This window comes from Homo sapiens, chromosome 12 (assembly GCF_000001405.40).
Source record: "Homo sapiens chromosome 12, GRCh38.p14 Primary Assembly".
In the NCBI taxonomy this organism is placed as follows: domain Eukaryota; kingdom Metazoa; phylum Chordata; class Mammalia; order Primates; family Hominidae; genus Homo; species Homo sapiens.
This window is the reverse complement of record NC_000012.12, coordinates 28,167,663-28,185,584: the sequence shown is the minus strand read 5'-3', so window position 1 is coordinate 28,185,584 and position 17,922 is coordinate 28,167,663. Positions and strand designations below refer to the sequence as shown.

The 17,922-nt window shown below is 36.5% G+C and overlaps 1 annotated feature.

The window, feature by feature from the left end:
- Window positions 2,063–2,232: an enhancer, noted in NCBI's record as "experimental_27323 CRE fragment used in MPRA reporter constructs". NCBI's record gives its function as "activates a minimal promoter by MPRAs in K562 erythroleukemia cells, with activity observed for both the introgressed and non-introgressed 12:28336371 variant alleles {active_cell/tissue: K562}" and the evidence as "EXISTENCE:reporter gene assay evidence [ECO:0000049][PMID:34662402]".

Sequence of the window (17,922 nt, the reverse complement as noted above, 5' to 3'; positions counted from 1 at the left end):
GTCAAATTAATACAGAGCTTGATTTTTCTACTTACCCTCACTGGTACTGAATATTAGTTAAGTCAGTTTAAATTTGTTATTATTATACTTCACCTTAAAAGACTTTAGTGTATATAATTTGATATAAATGTACATGTGTGTTTCCAGATTTACCCTACCCTCTAATGATTGTCAGTTGCCATCATATAGAATTTATACTCCAGGTTGATAGGTAATCAGAAGAGCTGCACTCCAAATGTAGCCACCATTAGTGCTTATTATTATTTCCCATTACTGGAGACCTTGCTAATCAATAAAATTAATGTTAAAAATAGGTTTTAATGGGTGAAATTTGTGGTTCGTTAATTTAGGTAATGGAAGTTATAAATTGACTCTCCATTAATGAATCAATGATGCTCACCATATGTAAATTGGGTAATGTATTTCAGAGACGGCTCCTACCTTACGTGAGCAAGGTTATAAGAAGCTAGCAAACCCTGTAGCCTACACACTTAGAAATAGCACCCTTCAAATTTCAAACCTGAATGTCTAAAATTTCAGTAATCATAGCATGCCAAAGGTGGAAAAATTTAATGTTCTGCTTAACGAAAGGGAGAATCATGTTCGTTACGAAGATTACTAGAGATACCATGCCCATTATGGAGATAAGGAATAAAACGTTATTGCCTTTCCCTCTACCATGCAAGTTCATTTTTTAAATATCCCCAGTGAAGATATCGGGATAAGCTATTAAACTAAATTTAGACCAGCAGAACATGAAGGATTACTAGGAAACAGAAATTCCAAGATAAAAAAACTAGGGCTAGACATGGTCTTTGCCATGGTTACTTGCCTACAGAAATAACAAGAAGCAAATAGTTCTAAAACCTAATATTTAAGGGAAAATGTATTGTTAAATAAATCTCAAGGCTGACTGATGATAGCCTGTGACTATTTAATGTTAGGAGTATCCTCAAATATCTAAACTCAACCTAATAGGAGATGAGCTAGCAAAATGATGCAACCTCCCAAAAAGAGGATCTTCCCCAATGACCATCTCAGATAGGGCAGTGGAGGACATAGAGAGCAAAAGAGTAACTGCTGAAAGAACACATACCACTGCCAGCCAACAGTCCTCATTATTCCTGTCTACAGAGTATGACAGGGATCAGAAACCACTGTGTCCCTTTTTTTTTTTAGACAGAGTTTCGCTTTTGTTGCCCAGGCTGGAGTGCAATGGTGCCATCTCAGCTCACCGCAACCTCCACCTCCCGATTTAAGCAATTCTCCTGCCCCAGCCTCCCGAGTAGCTGGGATTACAGGCATGTGCCACCACACCCAGCTAATTTTGTATTTTTAGTAGAGACAGTGTGTCTCCATATTGGTCAGGCTGGTCTCGAACTCCCAAGCTCTGGTGATCCGCCTACCTCAGCCTCCCAAAGTGCTGGGATTACAGGAGTGAGCCACTGTGCCCAGCCTGTGTCCCCTCTTTAATTGGGAGTTTTTATTGCAGTGATTTTGACCTTTCTTTTTCATTGCTTTTTGCATTTTTCATTTCTTTTTGCATTTATTTTTTCATTGCTTTTTGCATTTCTTTTTCATTGCTTTTTACATTTATTGCTTTTTGCATTTATTAACATTTGTTGTTAGTTGCTAGACCATAAGGAAGGAATTCCAGGTAAACCTAACATATTGTATTAGTCCAATTTCTTACTGCTATAAAGAACTTCCAAACACTGGGTAATTTATAAAGGAAATTGACTCACAGGTTTGCACGGCTGGGGAGGCCTCAGGAAACTTACAATCATGGCAGAAGGAGAAGCAGGCACATCTTACATGGCGGCAGGTGAGAGAGAGAGCATGAGCCTGTGAAGGAGGAACTGTCAAACACGTATAAAACCATTAGATCTCATGAAAATTCGCTCACTATCACGATAACAGCATGGGGGAACCACCCCCATAATCCAATCACTTCCTTCCCTCAACACATGGGGATCACAGGTCCCTTCCTCAACACATGGGGATAACTATTGGAGATGAGATCTGGGTAGGGACACAGAGCCAAGCCATATCACATATTGTGGAGTGAGAGAGAGAGTGGGGAAAAGAAAGATACATGTTAATTACAATGGTTGGGGAGCACAAGAGTATACTACAGTGGACCTGGTAGTTGTTACTCAAACATGCATTTTACCCTCACCCCATTGTGTAGCTTTCAGCCGTGTTCAATGAGATTGACCCCATCCCTTTTCTAAGGGTGAGTCCTGATTGGTCTAAGCTAAAAGTTACCCCAACCTCCTTGACACAGTTATTGTGAGTGGACAACCCTGTCCTAGCCCAATCATAGCATTACCCTAATCATATGAATTATTTCAGGGATTATCCAACAAGTACAAACCTCAGGACAATTGTTCGATAGTTGTCAGGAAGAACTTCCTATAAGTGATGAAGCCTGTAACCCCTCCTGCTTTTAACAACTAATTTGTGACTGTAAAGGAAACCAGTCTGAGGACAAAGCAGATGCAGACAGTAAAACTAAGTTGATATAATGCAGAGAAATGGAGCTGAAACTTTGATCAAATCAATTCTAAAGCTTCCTTCACCTCCATGGGACTTTTCATTTATGTGAACAATCCCTTCTATTGTTTAATCTAGTTTGAATTAGGGTTTCTGTTACTTGCAATCCCAAATGTTTTAACTGGTAGAAAGATTCTGTATTTCTAACCTCTTATTAAATGTTAGAAAATAATTGTTTTTTATAAAAATGGAAATGAGCCATAACTACTTTCTTCTGTGTCCATGCTCATGCCAGAATGAGGCTGAATATGAGCTACTGTTCCTGAGTGCAGTTCTCTCAGATTCCTGCACTACTCAGCTTCCCACATTAAACCAATAGAAAAGCATTTCAAATATTTATTTGTAACACTGTGTATATACAAAATTAAAGAGTAAACTGTGAAAGTTTTAAATAACACTTTTCTGGCCCTTTCTCTAATCAGGTCTCCTTTGGATTCAGTGCTGTACATAACCCATTTATGAAATCTCCATTACCTAGGAGACACATGATCCCTAACTTCTCACTCTTTGGAAAATTGTCATTGGCCACCATATTGGCTTGCCTGGTTAACTGAACTCATAACGGGGCAAGAATCACTCCCTTAAATTGCTTCAAGTATCTCAGAGCCTAATACAGAAAAGAAAGCCCAAGCAGAAAGAGAAGAGAAGCCATGATTTGATCTGTGTAATCATTACAACAAATTAACAAAATTAATTTATATGATAAGTTGCCTTCAACTATTATCTCCAAATAAATAACTAAAAAATGTAGTGACTATCAATAGAAAGTACATGTGTCCACTCTATTTCCTTTAGTCTTCATTACATACTTAAAAAACATAAATGAACAAATAACTTTTATTTGTGAAATTAAACTTTCTATAAACAAAAATTTATGCTGGAATATTTTTTGTATTCTGGATTAAACACCTAAATCATTCATATAATTTTTAATCATTTGTTAAATAACATACCTCTGGCTGCTAAATTTTACTTTTAAAAAATTCAACCTTTACCCTAGATTCAGGGTGCACATGTGCAGGTTTGTTACAAGACTATAGTGTGCATTGCTGAGGTTTGGTATATGATTGAATTCATCACCCAGGTAGTGAGCATAGTACCCAGTAAATAGTTTTTCAACCCTTCCCCCACTTCCTCCCTCTTATTGTAGTCTCCAGTGTCTATTGTTTCCATCTTTATGTTTGTGTGTACCCACTGTTTAGCTCCCACTTATAAGTGAGAACATGTAGTATTTAGTTTTATGTTTCTGTATTAATTCACTTAGGATAATGACCTCCAGCTCCATCCGAGTTGTTGCAAAGAATATTATTTCATTCTTTTTTATAGCAGCATAGTATTCCATGGTGATTATGTACCACACTTTCTTTATCCAGTCCACCATGGATGGGCACCTAGGTTGATTCCATGTCTTTGCTATTGTGAATAGTACTGCAATGAGCATACAAGTGCCTTTGTCTTTTTGGTGGAATGATTTTCTTTGGGGTATATACCCAGTAATGGGATTTCTGGATTGAATGGTAGTTCCATTTTTAGTTCTTTGAGAAATCTCCAAACTGCTTTCAACAGGGGCTGAACTATGTTACATTTCTGCCAACAGTGTATAAGAGTTCCCATTTCTCTGCAGCCTCGCCAACATCTGTTATTTTTGACTTTTAAATAATAGCTATTCTAAATGGTGTGAGATGGCATCTCATTTTGGGTTTGATTTGCATTTCTCTGATGATTAGTGATGTTGAGCATTTTTTCATATGTTTGTTGGCCACATGTATATCTTCTTTTCAGAAGTGTCTGTTCATGTCATTTGCCCACTTTTTAACAGGATTATTTGTTTTCTGCTTGTTGATTTAAGTTCCTTATAGATTCTGGACATTAGACCTTTGTTGAATGCATGGTTTGTTAATATTTTCTCCAACTAAATGCTACTTTTTATGATACGCATTAAAAAATCAAAAAGCAAGCTAGGCTTTACATCTGTATTTAACTATTGTATTGCTTCCTTAGTAGTTACTGCACCACTTTTGCAGATGTACCAAGCAATACTCTGGGCAGAAAGCCAGGCAAGAGCTACTACGACTAAGATAAATTGAGTTTGAACTAAACTTTTTCAAAATTTTTGGTGCACCACAAAATTTACACATCATGAGAAAACTCTAAAGTTTGAAAAATGGAGTTCTAAAGAACACAGTCGAACCCCAAGCAGCACTCTCTTGAGAGTCTGATCACTCTTTTAACTTGACAAGAACAAGTAAAGTGTTGTATGTGAGCAGTGGAAGGTCCTCCTGCTTTTTCCTCTTTCTTTAGGTTAGGGATTTTATATGATCCTAATGATAAAAGGGAATTTTGTGTTCTTATGTCAAACTTTAACCTAACTTTGAGAAAAAAATTATCCAAACATCTGAAAGAAAATTATGTCTATTAGGCACTAACTCTGCCTGTAAATTTGTTATATTGTCAATTCAAGAATATTTGGCTTCCAATTTAAAATATAAATAAAGACTAGTCAAATTTTTCTTTGATAACATTTTTATAAGTTTGAATACATAGTTATAAGGACATAAAGTCAGAGAGCGTATCAAGCCTGCAGTTGTCTAAATCTGCCTGTGGTAGTAAGCTACAAACCCACTGTGTTTTTGAGGAAAAAAGGAAATTCACTAAGAGCTAAGGCATTATTTTGCCTATTATACATACTATATATTAGTTTCATACACTTATTAGAATCTTTGCTTAAGATATGTATCTTAAACCCCAGAGTCATATGATAATTTGCCTAATAATTTTCTATCAAAGTTATACAATTTAACAAATGTTGATAATGCCTTCACTAGAGATTAAGTAGCAATAAAATTGTCTTTTGCTTTAATGAAGTCATATTTTTAGTACAGTTATGTTTGTAAGATACCCACAAGTTAATCTCTTATGGAAATATTTGATAATTAAGCTGAGTAAAATATGGATTATAAGAATCCTATTAAAAATAATATGAATAACAGCATGCTCTTTGCTAAGAAAATGTTATTAGTTCTTAATCACCATATGATTACCTCTTGCATAGGCATCATTTCCCCAAATTTATAATAATAGCATAAATGTCCATTGTTAATCATCTGTAGTGACATGAATATGCTTTATAATCACTACATGTAGCTATGGGATATATTAACTCTTAATTATATTTATTCACTAAAATACACATGCATTTGAGAGAGCAAGTCACTGTCTATAGAAATTTACTCTTGTATTAACCTCAACAAAATTATTCTATCCTGATTTTCCAACTTTTCAGATGATTCTTTATCCAATTCACAGTCTCCTTTCACCTTCTTCTTCATTGTAGCTATGCTGCAAGTTTCTATCCTTTGTTCTCTTCTCACTTGGATTTAGGCATTCTCTGGTAATCTTTTCTATTCATCACAAACGATATCACCTTAACGTAAATAATTCTGGAATACACATATATCTTCTACATAAACTTATTTCTCAATCTACATTAATGTATTCTACATATCTACACAAAACCCATTTACCATATCCACATTTGATGACCCAGTGAAAGTTTGGTGTTTTTTTTAATTATTCGGTCCAGAATTATCTAAGAATAGCTAAGAATAGATTTCAGTTAAGACTAGATTTTATAGCTGCCTACTAGATATGTACATAGACGTCCCACAAGAAATTAGAACTTACGTGTTCCAAAACAAAGTTATCATCTGTCCTCCACACAACCTATCCAACCTCCTTGCTCAGTTGCTTTTGTAAGCACTTGCATTAGTTAGAACATTAGTTTCAGCTCCTTTAACAAAGACTCCAAAATAATTGTGACTTAAACAAGATAAGTTCTAATTGTTATCTCACATAAAAGCATAAGCCTAGGCAATGCAGGGCTGATACAGTGGCTCCACGTAAGGAGACGCTACTTGACCTCCTTACATCTTGTTGTTCTCCCATTTTCAACATATGGCGTCCTTTCCACGGTCTAATATAAGTGCTCCAATTTCTGCCATTATGTCCGCATTCTAACTAGCAGGAAAAGGGAAAAGGGGAAGTGAAGGGCATACCTCTTCTTTAGCAGAGCAGGGCACAGAAGGCAAACATTTTACTCTCACATCTCACTGGCTAGAACTTGGCCACATAGCCATACCGAGCTACAGGGTAAGTTTCAAACTGCCCTCTTTGTCTGGGCAGCTTTGTGGCCTGCTAAAATTCGGGGATTTTATTACAAAGAGGAGTGGGATGATATATAGTGTGGAATAGCCACTGGTTCTTTTCAGATGCAGTTCCTTAAATGCTTTCGCTCTCCTTCCTCTACTTCACGGCTGCTACTGCCTTGTTAATGTATATTTATTCTTTCCATGTGAATGCATATTGAATGATATTTGATCCTGTAATCTAAGTGGGATGGAAAAGAATGCATTCACCAAACTGAAGACCACATGCCATGTACCTAAGGCCATGTTGATTCACTCTAATAAAGATACCACATCTGGCATAATAACTGTCAGGAGGGCTACTACTACTTGGTTGAGCTTGAGGAAGTCTATAGTCATTCTTCAGGATCCATCCTATTTTTGCAGAAGCAAGACGAGTGAATCCAGTGGATGGGTATGACCATTCTGCATCCTTTAGATCTGGGGTTAGCAAACTTTTTATGTACAGGAACAGATAGTTAATATTTTAAGCTTTATAAGTCAGGTGGTCCTTGTTGCAACCAGTGGGCCCAATATAAGCTGAATCTGGACAGAATTCCATTTTTAAAACTGGCCTTCACATGCTCCAACTATAAATTAAGGCCCTAATGTGTTGGTTCTCCTAGTATCAGTGTCAACTAAATGTCCAGCTGGTTCACATTACCCAAGTGTATTAGTCCATTTTCATGCTGCTATAAAGAACTTCCCTGAGACTGGGTAATTTATAAAGGAAAGAGGTTTAATAGACTCACAGTTGTGCACAGCTGGAGAGATCTCAGGAAACTTACAGTTATGGCAGAAGGGAAGCAGGCACATTCTTGACAGGAGGCAGGAGAGAGAATGAGCAAGAGCAGGGAAAACTGCCTTATAAAACCATCAGATCTCATGAGAACAGCAGGGAGAAAACTGTCCCCATGATCCCACCTCCCTCCCTCAACACGTGGGGATTACAGGTTCCTTCCTCAACATGTAGGGATTATAATTTCTGATAAGATTTGGGAGGGACAGAGAGCCAAACCGTATCACCAAGTAAATGGCCTTTGGTCCCTTTGAAGAAGGACTAAGGGAATCATTACCAGGTGTACTTGCCATGGCATCACAAGGTCCATCCCCAGGAGGCCTAAACACGTCAATGAATGAGATACAGGTCTGAAAATTGACTCAGGCCCATAAACTGGGCAAGGGATTATGACACAATAAAGTATCACTCTGTTATTCATGCTTGATTTCTTCTAACAGTACATGCTGAGTGATTCCATTGTCACTACCAATTTATTTTGTCTCTAGCATTGTCAAATTCTATTAATATGTTCCATAATTCTGTGGTTCTTTCTGGGCTGCCATTCTGACCTTGTTGATGCTTACAATTATTTAAAATCCCTGGCTTCTGGCAGTTAAATGCCACAACTGGCCTCTGTTTTTCCAGGGTTCTATCAACTTCTTTGTTACCAATGAGTCAGGTTCTGTAATGGCCTCTCCTACAGTGACCTCTGGCCTAAAGAGGAGCATCACTACTCTGCTTGTTAGTGTTGCTAGTGCTTCTTTCACCAGCTCATTCATTACAGCCTTGGTAAACTGTGTATCCTTTGGGCCTTCCCATGGAACATATTCCTCTCAGTCTTCCAGCCTTATTTGTATTTTCATTCCAGCATGCTTATTTTCCTCAGCCTTTCCCTTCCTCAACCTTCTTCCATGGCAATCCCAGCATTTCAACTTTGCTTATTATTAACCATCTATCTTAGTGGGCATATAACCATCTTTGAAGTTCAGCTACTCTGACTATAAAGTCTAGTCTTGGTCTTCACCTTTCTCCAGCCTCCTCCTGCAGGAAATGAGAGCTTCTTTTTTATGCAGCCAAAGAGGCCCTCTGACAATCTCACTTGGTTTTTAATTGCTTGTTATTCGCTCTGATTTTTTCATTATCTTTGTGTAGAGCATCAATACCGCTTAGCAATAGCCATCCAATTCCTTTATCTTTATCGCTACTTTATTCCCCATACATCTCAAATATATCTGATTCATCTGGCCAGTTCACAAACAGTGAAAATGTTAATAATTTGATTACTACCTTGTGATAATAGCTGTTTGTGCTCCATTTACCACAAGTAATGCCAGGAGGCAATGAATGACTCAGGCAAAAAGCCCATCACCTACTCTCTTGGACCAGTCCTGGTACCAAATTCATGGATTGCATTCTCAGGAAGCAGACGCCAAAACAAGAATTTCAGCATGCCAGCATGCAGGGTGCTTATTAGGGATCAAACCTTTGATAGGAAGTGAAGTGAAACAGCATTGGTCAGAGAGAGAAGTTGAACTGCGATACAGACGCAACAGAACTTCAGCCAACTCAGCAGAAAGCTCTGGAACAAATATGTCTATCAGAGTTGTCCTGCATTTGTATTCAGACTTCTCTCCTCTACCAGATGCAGATTGCCCTGGTTAAGGGTAGGACCTTGGAAAAGACTGCTCTCTGAACCTGAACAGACAGCTATAAATTACTGGCCATATTTCCTGCAGCTGCATAGGAAATCCTCTTTGAAGAGGAATCTGGGGGTGCATCTCGGTGTCTATCACATTAAACCACTAGGAAGTTTCTCTGTGGATGAAGCATTCTCATCTTTGTTTTTGAACATGCTGTTTCCTCTTCCAGGCATAATCTTCCTTCTGTCGGTCTCCTGGATAGCATCTGTCCATCCCTGGAGATTCAACTCAGACTCAACCTCCTCTGGAAAGTCTTCTCTGAAATTTCCAGATTATATTAGCTGCCTATTCTCTGAGGCCTCATCACACTTCATTTATACTAATATTATAGCCATTCACAAGCCACATTGTAATAATTTGCTTACACCTTTTGCCCTATATATTATGAAATCCTTGAAGACATGGATTATGTGTTTATTTTTGTATCCACAACATCTAAAATAATGTCTTTCACATAAGAAACACTATGTAGAAAATCTGAAACAATTAACCAAAAAAACCCCTCCTGGAACTAATAAGCAATTATAACAAAGTTTCAGGATGCAAGTTTAATAAACAAAAGCTAAATAAACTCTTACCATATGATCCAGCAATCATGCTCCTTGGTAATTAACCAATGAATTGAAAACTTAGGTCCACACAAAAATCTGCACATGGATATTTGCAGCAGCTTTACTCATAATTGCCAACACTTGAAAAGAACCAAGAGATCCTCAGAAGGTGAGTGGATAAATGAACTATGGTATATCAGACAATGGAATATTATTCAACATGAAAAGATAATGAGCTATCAAGCCTTGAAAAGACAAGGAAGAAACTTAAATGCATATTACTAAGTGAAAGGAGCCAATCTGTGAAAAGCTACATACTGTGCTTCTAACTATATGACATTCTGGGAAAGGTAAGACCATAAAGACAGTTAAAAGATCAGTGGTTGACAGGGATTGGCAGGAGAAAAGGGTGAATAGGCAGAGCACAGAGAATTTCTCAGACAGTAAAACTATTCTGTAGGTACTACAGTGATGGATATGTCATTATACATTTGTCAAAACCTATTGAATATACAACATCAAGAGTGAACCCTCATGTAAACCATGAGCTTTGTGTGTAATGATGTGTCAATGTAGGTTTATCAACTGTAACACGTGTACTCTGGTAGTAGGGGTGTAAGGCATGTGTGGGGACAGGGAATATATGGGAACTCTGTACTTTCTGCTGTTTGTGAAACTAAAACTGCTCTAAGAAATAAAGTTTATTAATTAAAAAACTGTAAAGCCTTATATGAAGATAAGATGTCAGTCAACATTATATACAAATTGTCAAAGTCATTTAAAATATGCCATTTAAATTCTATGACTTAGTGGTTGCCTTTTATTTTTTGCATGGTACCAACCAAAACAAATTAGATATAAGAAAAAGCAAACTAAGGACTTCATATAATGCATTATAATATTGTGTTGTATCACATACAATGCTGTCAATTTCCCTATTTGATATATAAATATTTGCTTTATTTTAGACGGTTTCAGTACAATACAAAATACAGATATATTCTATTTGATTAAATTGTGATGGCATATATTGGTAGATATTCATTCAAAGGCTGAACATTTAATAATGAAAAAAACTACTGGAAAGTAATTAAGGAAGTTGCTAATCAGTTCATTAATTAAGTATATCTGCTGCACATTATACAGAAACAAATTAAAAAGGATTCTGTGCTAGCCAGAAATTCCCTCTCAAATGTAGTCAAAAGAGAAGATTAAAAACAAACAAAATGAAAACAAAACTGAGTGAATTATTTCTATGGGAAATTGCAATTTGATATATACCATTTATCCTTATGGTACCTTTTAAGCTACATAATATACAATACAAAAATTGAGTTTAAATATATAGTACACATACAGTTAATATCTGTTGGTTTAAAATCATTATTCATTAATGTCTGATATCATTAGAAACAGAGTTTTACAGTTAAATGAACTTAGATGCAATTTTATTTGAACTCCTCTCTGAATTCAGGAAACTAGTACCCACAGTTAAGCAACAAATCAGCAGAAACCAGCAGGAAAGTGTCTCACAGAAGGCTTTCTTATTTGAAAGCAAAATAAATTAACAATAAGTAAAAACCAGTTTACTGAGTTTGCGCATAAATGGCCTCAGACAATTAAAAGATTGAGATTCAAGAAAGGATGTGGTTCTTATATTTTTTTTTTCTTTTTTTGAAAAATTCCACCCTCACTTTGGCCCTCCAGCTTCCTCCTTACCCCCTTTTTTGTTCTTATATAATTTAAACTTTCAACTGCATGATAAAGAACGTAAGGAAAAATTACATTTCTATTTTAGTAGGTTCTAGATGATCAATCAGTTGCTTGGATTTTGAAGAGTCAAAATTTTGATAAATGGGGACATATTTTTATCAAGTTTAGCACTCCGTTAAACAAGAAAGCATTTATTCTATGTTTTTACAAGTGTTTTTTTTTTCAGTAAGGATATTTACACTTATTTGAAGATCATCCATTATTTGTATAACTTTTACAAAATGCAGATTCCTGAAGTTAGGAATAGAATTAAAAATGGACAAATATACTTGTGTACAAACAGCAAATAGAGTTGATTTCAGAAGCTAATGAACGTTAGACACTGGGTTATTTGTGTACCTCCTAGAATGTGAGGTTTGAGTGGTTTCATACCTGTTCTGAAGCTTTCATTATTGATTTAGCTGTGAATGGTATTCAGTCAGCTGGTAATAAATGAGTAATATCACCCAGCAATATGGCAGTTTTGATATGGTCAAAAGCTAGACATACCTGTGGTCCTTCCAAATCAAAGAGTACTTCTAATGTTATAAGATTGATTATTTGATTTTTGGACTTCTCCTCAAGAATGAGAAAGCTCCATGTTTTTATATATGAAATAAGACTCGTTTATGTGAATGTAGAGAATTTAGCATGTCAATTACAAAGAATCTGACTTCTCTGCAAGCTGAGAACAATATGTGATATGGTTTGGCTCTGTGTCCCCACCCAAATCTCATGTCAAATTGTAATACTCAGTGTTGGAGGAGGGGCCTGGTGGGATGTGATTGGATCTTGGGGGCAGATTCCCCCTTGCTGTTCTCGTGATAGTGAGTTCTCATGAGATCTGGTTGTTTAAAAGTGTGTAGCACTTCCCTCTTTGCTCTCTCTCTCCTGCTGCACCATGTGAAGATGTGCCTGCTTCCCCTTCACCTTCCACCATGATTGTAAGTTTCCTGAGGCCTCCCTAGCCATGCTTCCTGTATAGCCTGTGGAACCATGAGTCAACTAAACCTCTTTTCTTCATAAATTACCGAGTTGCATGTAGTTCCTTATAGCAATGCTAGAACGGACTAATACAACATGTTTTACCATTGTTTTCATACAATGCTTTGGGGATATATGAAGATGCAGGGAAATGTCATGGTAGAAGTAATAGCACAATTTTTTGAAAAGCTTGGGTTAGTAAGACTCATTACAAATATTCTGGATCCATTTTTGGCTAAATGAAGAGGAAAATTTTACCAACTGATGGCCATTTGATGACCTGCATGGAAAGAATTAGTAGGCTCAGGAGAGTATACAGTTGAGAGAAGTGATCACATCACAAAATGTGACATAATTCTTTGGCACTAACTGGCATCCTAGGCATGGAGAGTGAATTACATTCTCAACTCTGAATTTCCCCCTCTAGATTACCCATGTGGCTCACCAGAGGGCAGTGTGCAGTAATCAACTCTTTTGCTTCCTGCATTGGATGTCTCCTATGGAAAAACCAATGTCAAATAATCAGAACCAGACAACAGGCAAGACAATAGGTTATGAAAGTTGTTTATTAGATTTGTTGTACTGTGCCCTGTACATGGAATTCTTAACATTGAAAAATTAACCAATTACCGCATGAGAGATCATGTAATAAGGTTTTAGTGAATTCTGTATAATAGTTTCAATTTTATGACAATGATTTTGGCATTGCTGAGGTCAAGTGTCTCTTTTAGACTTAAAAATGTATAATATCCACTGGTCGATAAATTGCCTTGCTTCACATATCTCACACCTGAATTCTCAAGAGTTTCCAGTATTGCATACAGATTTATTCAGTGAATATTAATCGAACAATTAGAATGTGGGATATAACAAGATAAAGTACCTATAAATCCTGCTTACAAGAAACTTGAAATCTATCAAGGGATTAAAGTGTAAATGAAAATTAATACACTATCAAAATTACATAAAGTGGGAGTTACATATAAAATACTAAGAGAATTCAGTGAAGGAAAAGATAAAGGCATTTGGAAAGGGTTCAAAATTTGAGCTGAGTCTCACAGGTGAGGCAGAAAGCATTTGGACATATTGAGAGTAATGAAAGCACATGCCAAATAAAGAAAACATCATGGATGCACAAAATTAAAGGACCTAGACGGTTAGGGTATATGAAAGGTAGTAGTGGGAAATAATGCTAAAGAGTCATAGAGTGAATATGTCTTTGAGTGTACTGAATACCAGCCATACTCCAAAAACTGAACTGACAACAGGAAGTTGTTATAGGAGTAAAAGATCAGCTTCAGCATTTTGTACTAAAAAAATTGATATAGCAGTTTTTTTGTGGGATGGACTGATAAATAAGCTCCCAAAGGTAGGGAGATCTGTTAAAAAGGTATCTCATTAATCCTGTAGGCTTTGAGATTGAATAAAGAAGGCAAGCAAGGGATTCTGTAAAAGTAGAATTGGTATGAGTAAAAACTAAGTAGATGTGGGTGGGGTAAAGAGAGAAAGAAGTCAAAACATAGTCTGAGGTTTTGAGCTGATGTAGGAGGACGATGACTTCATTCATTGAAATACAGGACCCAGGCGAAGGAGATTTGGGAAAGAAATTGGTGTGTTTACCAAAAATCTTAAATAAAAAAATCCTAGTCAAAATCTTTATGAAGCTAAATAGTTTCTTATCTTTTCATCTTTTATAAATTAATTCAGATGTATTTGGAGGGCTCATTATTCTTGATACCTTCAAAAGTCTACAGAAGCAACATTTTGTTTACTAAAATGTTTTGCAATTGTTAAAAGTGAAAATCAGAGGGCTATATTGTTCACTTAAGCTTAACAGAGTTGAATTACATTGTCACAATAAATGGGAGGAGCTGCAAGGTGTCCTCCCACCACTGAGGAAAATAAGGCTTGTTAAACTTAGCTGTTATTAAAAATGTAAATGTACCCTAATTTTAGCAAATGGAAAGTTTCTGCTTAACACAGAGACAATTGCAACCTTTCTCTTATGTAATCATGTTCTATATGTTTTTCTTTCTAATAAAAAAAGAACATTTGAAGGAATCAGTAATAATCCTATTGAAGAAAGAAAGAATAAAATGTAACTCCCTGATAAAAACATCTTTTATGTACTAACTGAAAATGGCTGTGATGGAGCCCCGTTAGGCTCAAATATATTGTAATATTTTTCCCTAACTTGGTTAACAATTACAAAACCCAGAGACCAATCTGTCAAAGAAACTTTTCCAAGCTGAAGCATCTGCTTTTGTGGCAATTTTTTCAATCAATTGTATAGAAAGTTTTGGAGTTGTCTTGAGTTCATCTGTTAATTTGTCTACTCAAATTAAGTATATGACATTATAAGTAGCATAGACTTATTTCTTGGTCACCAAAAAACAAAATCTAGTAGCATATTTTTGCCACATGAGTTTTATAATCATATCTTTCTTGGCCCCTGAAACACCTACTAAACAGATATCTCTTGTCCACAGTTATAGACCCTATAGCTTGAATTTTTTTTCTGTGTAAACGACAGAGGAGTCCTCTACATATTAATCCTGTTCTCTCCACCCTGCCCTCATACCTATATAATTATTTAGAACAAAAATAGCCTCTAGTATTGATGCGCTATTGTGCTTTATATTTTAATGTGTGTCTGGACAAATTCTAATTGAAAGGCTTTATGCAATTTATCAGAGTCACTTTGCTTGGTCACCTACTTGTGCTAACGCATTCATGATTTCAGCACCCTCAGGACATCAGGTGAACTTTTAGAAGATGAGACCACCACATTGTACTGTGATTGCCTCCTCTCTTGTTAATATACCCCTACAGAATTTAAGCCATCTGAGGCGAAGGACAGTGTCTACTTTAGGAGTTTGTCTGAATGCCTGAACCCTTTAGAAAACAAGGAGGGAGTGAAAAGTTTATCTTGGGCCAAGACTTCTGACAGTAGGAAAATTCAAAACATTGGCTGGTATCCTAAAGGGAAGTCAAGGGAGTACTAGGGAAATTAGATTATAATTATTATCTGAAAATTGAAAAGCATAAGAGAATTAAAAATCTCTAGTTTTTATTTCCTTAAATATCTATCTAATATATCTGCATGTATTTTTGTATGAAAGCATGTGTTTATTTTTTCATTTAATTGTGATAAAGTATATCTAACAAAATTTATTTTCTTAACCATTTTTAAGTGTACACTTCAGTGGCATTATGTACATTCACATTGTTGTGCAACCATCACCACCATGTCTCCAGAACTCCCTTTACCTTGCAAAACTGAAACTCGTACCCATTCAATAACTCTCCTTTCCCCCCATCCCACCAGCCCCTAGCAGCCATCATTCCACTGTCTGTCTTTATCAATATGACTACTCTACATTCTTCATGTAAGTGAAATTATATAGTATTTGTCTCTTTCTGACTGGCTTATTTCACCTAGCAGAATGTCCTCAAGGTTCATCCACATTTTAGTAAGTGTCAGATTTTCTTCCTTTTTTAAGGCTGAATAACATTCTGTTGTATGCATACACCACATTTTGTTTATCCATTCCTCCATCCATCAGTGACACTTGGGTTGTTTCCACCTTTTGGCTCTTGTGGATAATGCTGCTATGTACATGGGTGTGCAAGGATCTCTTCAAGACCGTGCTTTTAATTCTTTGGCGTATATACCCAGAAGTAGAATTGTTAGATCATGTGGTTATTCTTTTTTTTTTTTTTTGAGTCGGAGTCTTGCTCTGTCGCCCAGGCTGGAGTGCAGTGGTGCGTTCTCGGCTCACTGCAAGCTCCACCTCCCAGATTCACGCCATTCTCCTGCCTCAGCTTCCCAAGTAGCTGGGACTACAGGCGCCCGCCACCACGCCCGGCTAATTTTTTGTATTTTTTAGTGGAGACGGGGTTTCACCGTGTTAGCCAGGATGGTCTCGATCTCCTGACCTCGTGATCTGCCCACCTCGGCCTCCCAAAGTGCTGGGATTACAGGCGTGAGCCACTGCGCCTGGCCAGTTATTGTTTTTTAATTTTTTTGATGAATCACTATACTATTTTCCATAGTGACTGCACCATTTTATCTTTCCACCAACAGTGCTCATTTTATCGGCATCCTCACCAACACTTACTCTGTTTTTTTGATAGTAGCCATCCTAATGAGTGTGAAGTGGTATCTCCATGTAGTTTTGATTTGCATTAACCTAATGATTAGTGACATTGAACATCTTTTTATGGTCTTATTGGTCATTTGTATATCTTCTTTGGAGAAATATCTATCTATTCAGGACCCTGGCTCATTTTTAAATTGAGTTGGTTTTTTTTGTTGTTAAGTTGTAGTTCTTTACATATACTAGATACTAACCCCTTATCAGATATATGATTCACAAATATTTTTCTCCCATTCCATGGGTTGTCTTTTCACTCTGTTGAATGTGTCCTTTGATACACAAAGTTTTAAACTTTGATGTAGTCCAAATTTATCGTTTTTTTCTTTTTTTGCATGTGTTTTGGTATCATATCCAAGAAAGCATTGCCACCTCCAATATCATGAAGCGTCTCTGTTTCTGCTAAGAGTTTTATAGGTTTAGCTTTTACATTAGGTCTTTGACCCATTTTGAGTTAATTTTATATAAGATATAAGGTGTCTTAGTCCACTTAGTGTTGCTATAACAGAATACCTTACAATGTAAGGCAACGTAATTTACACAGAAAAGAGGATTATTTAACTCATAATTCTGGTATGCTAGCAAGTTCAAGATTGGGCAGCTGCATCTGGTGAGGGCCTCAGGCTGAAGAGAAGTGGGGCAAAGATATCACATAGCAAGAGAGTTAGCAAGAGAGAGAAACCAAGGAAGCCAGACCGTGTTTAACAACCTGCTCTCTCAGGAACCAATTCATTCCCATGAGCAGGAGGACTCACTCACTCCCTCAGGAAGGCATTAATCCATTCATGAGGGATTAGTCCCCATGACCCAAACATCTCCCACTAGGCCTCACTTCCCACCACTGCTATGTTGGGGATTAAATTTCAAAATGAGTTCTGGTGGGGACAAATCACATCCAAACCATAACATAGGGTAAGTTTCCAACTTCATTCTTTTGCATGTGGATATCCAGTTTTTGCAACATCTTTTGTTGAAAGGACTGTTCTTTCCCATTTAATGGTTTTGACACCCTTGTTGAAAATCATTTGACCATATATCCAAGAGTTTATTTCTGGGCTCTCTATTCTGTTCCATTGGTCTATTTATCTGTCTTTATGCCAATACCACAGTTTTAATTCATTTAGCTTTGTAACAAGTTTTGAAATCAGGAAGTGTGAGAGGTTCAACTTGCTTCGTTTTTCAAGATTTTTTTGGCTATTTGTGTTCCCTTAAGAGTCTATATAAATTTTTTCTTTTTATTTATTTATTTATTTATTT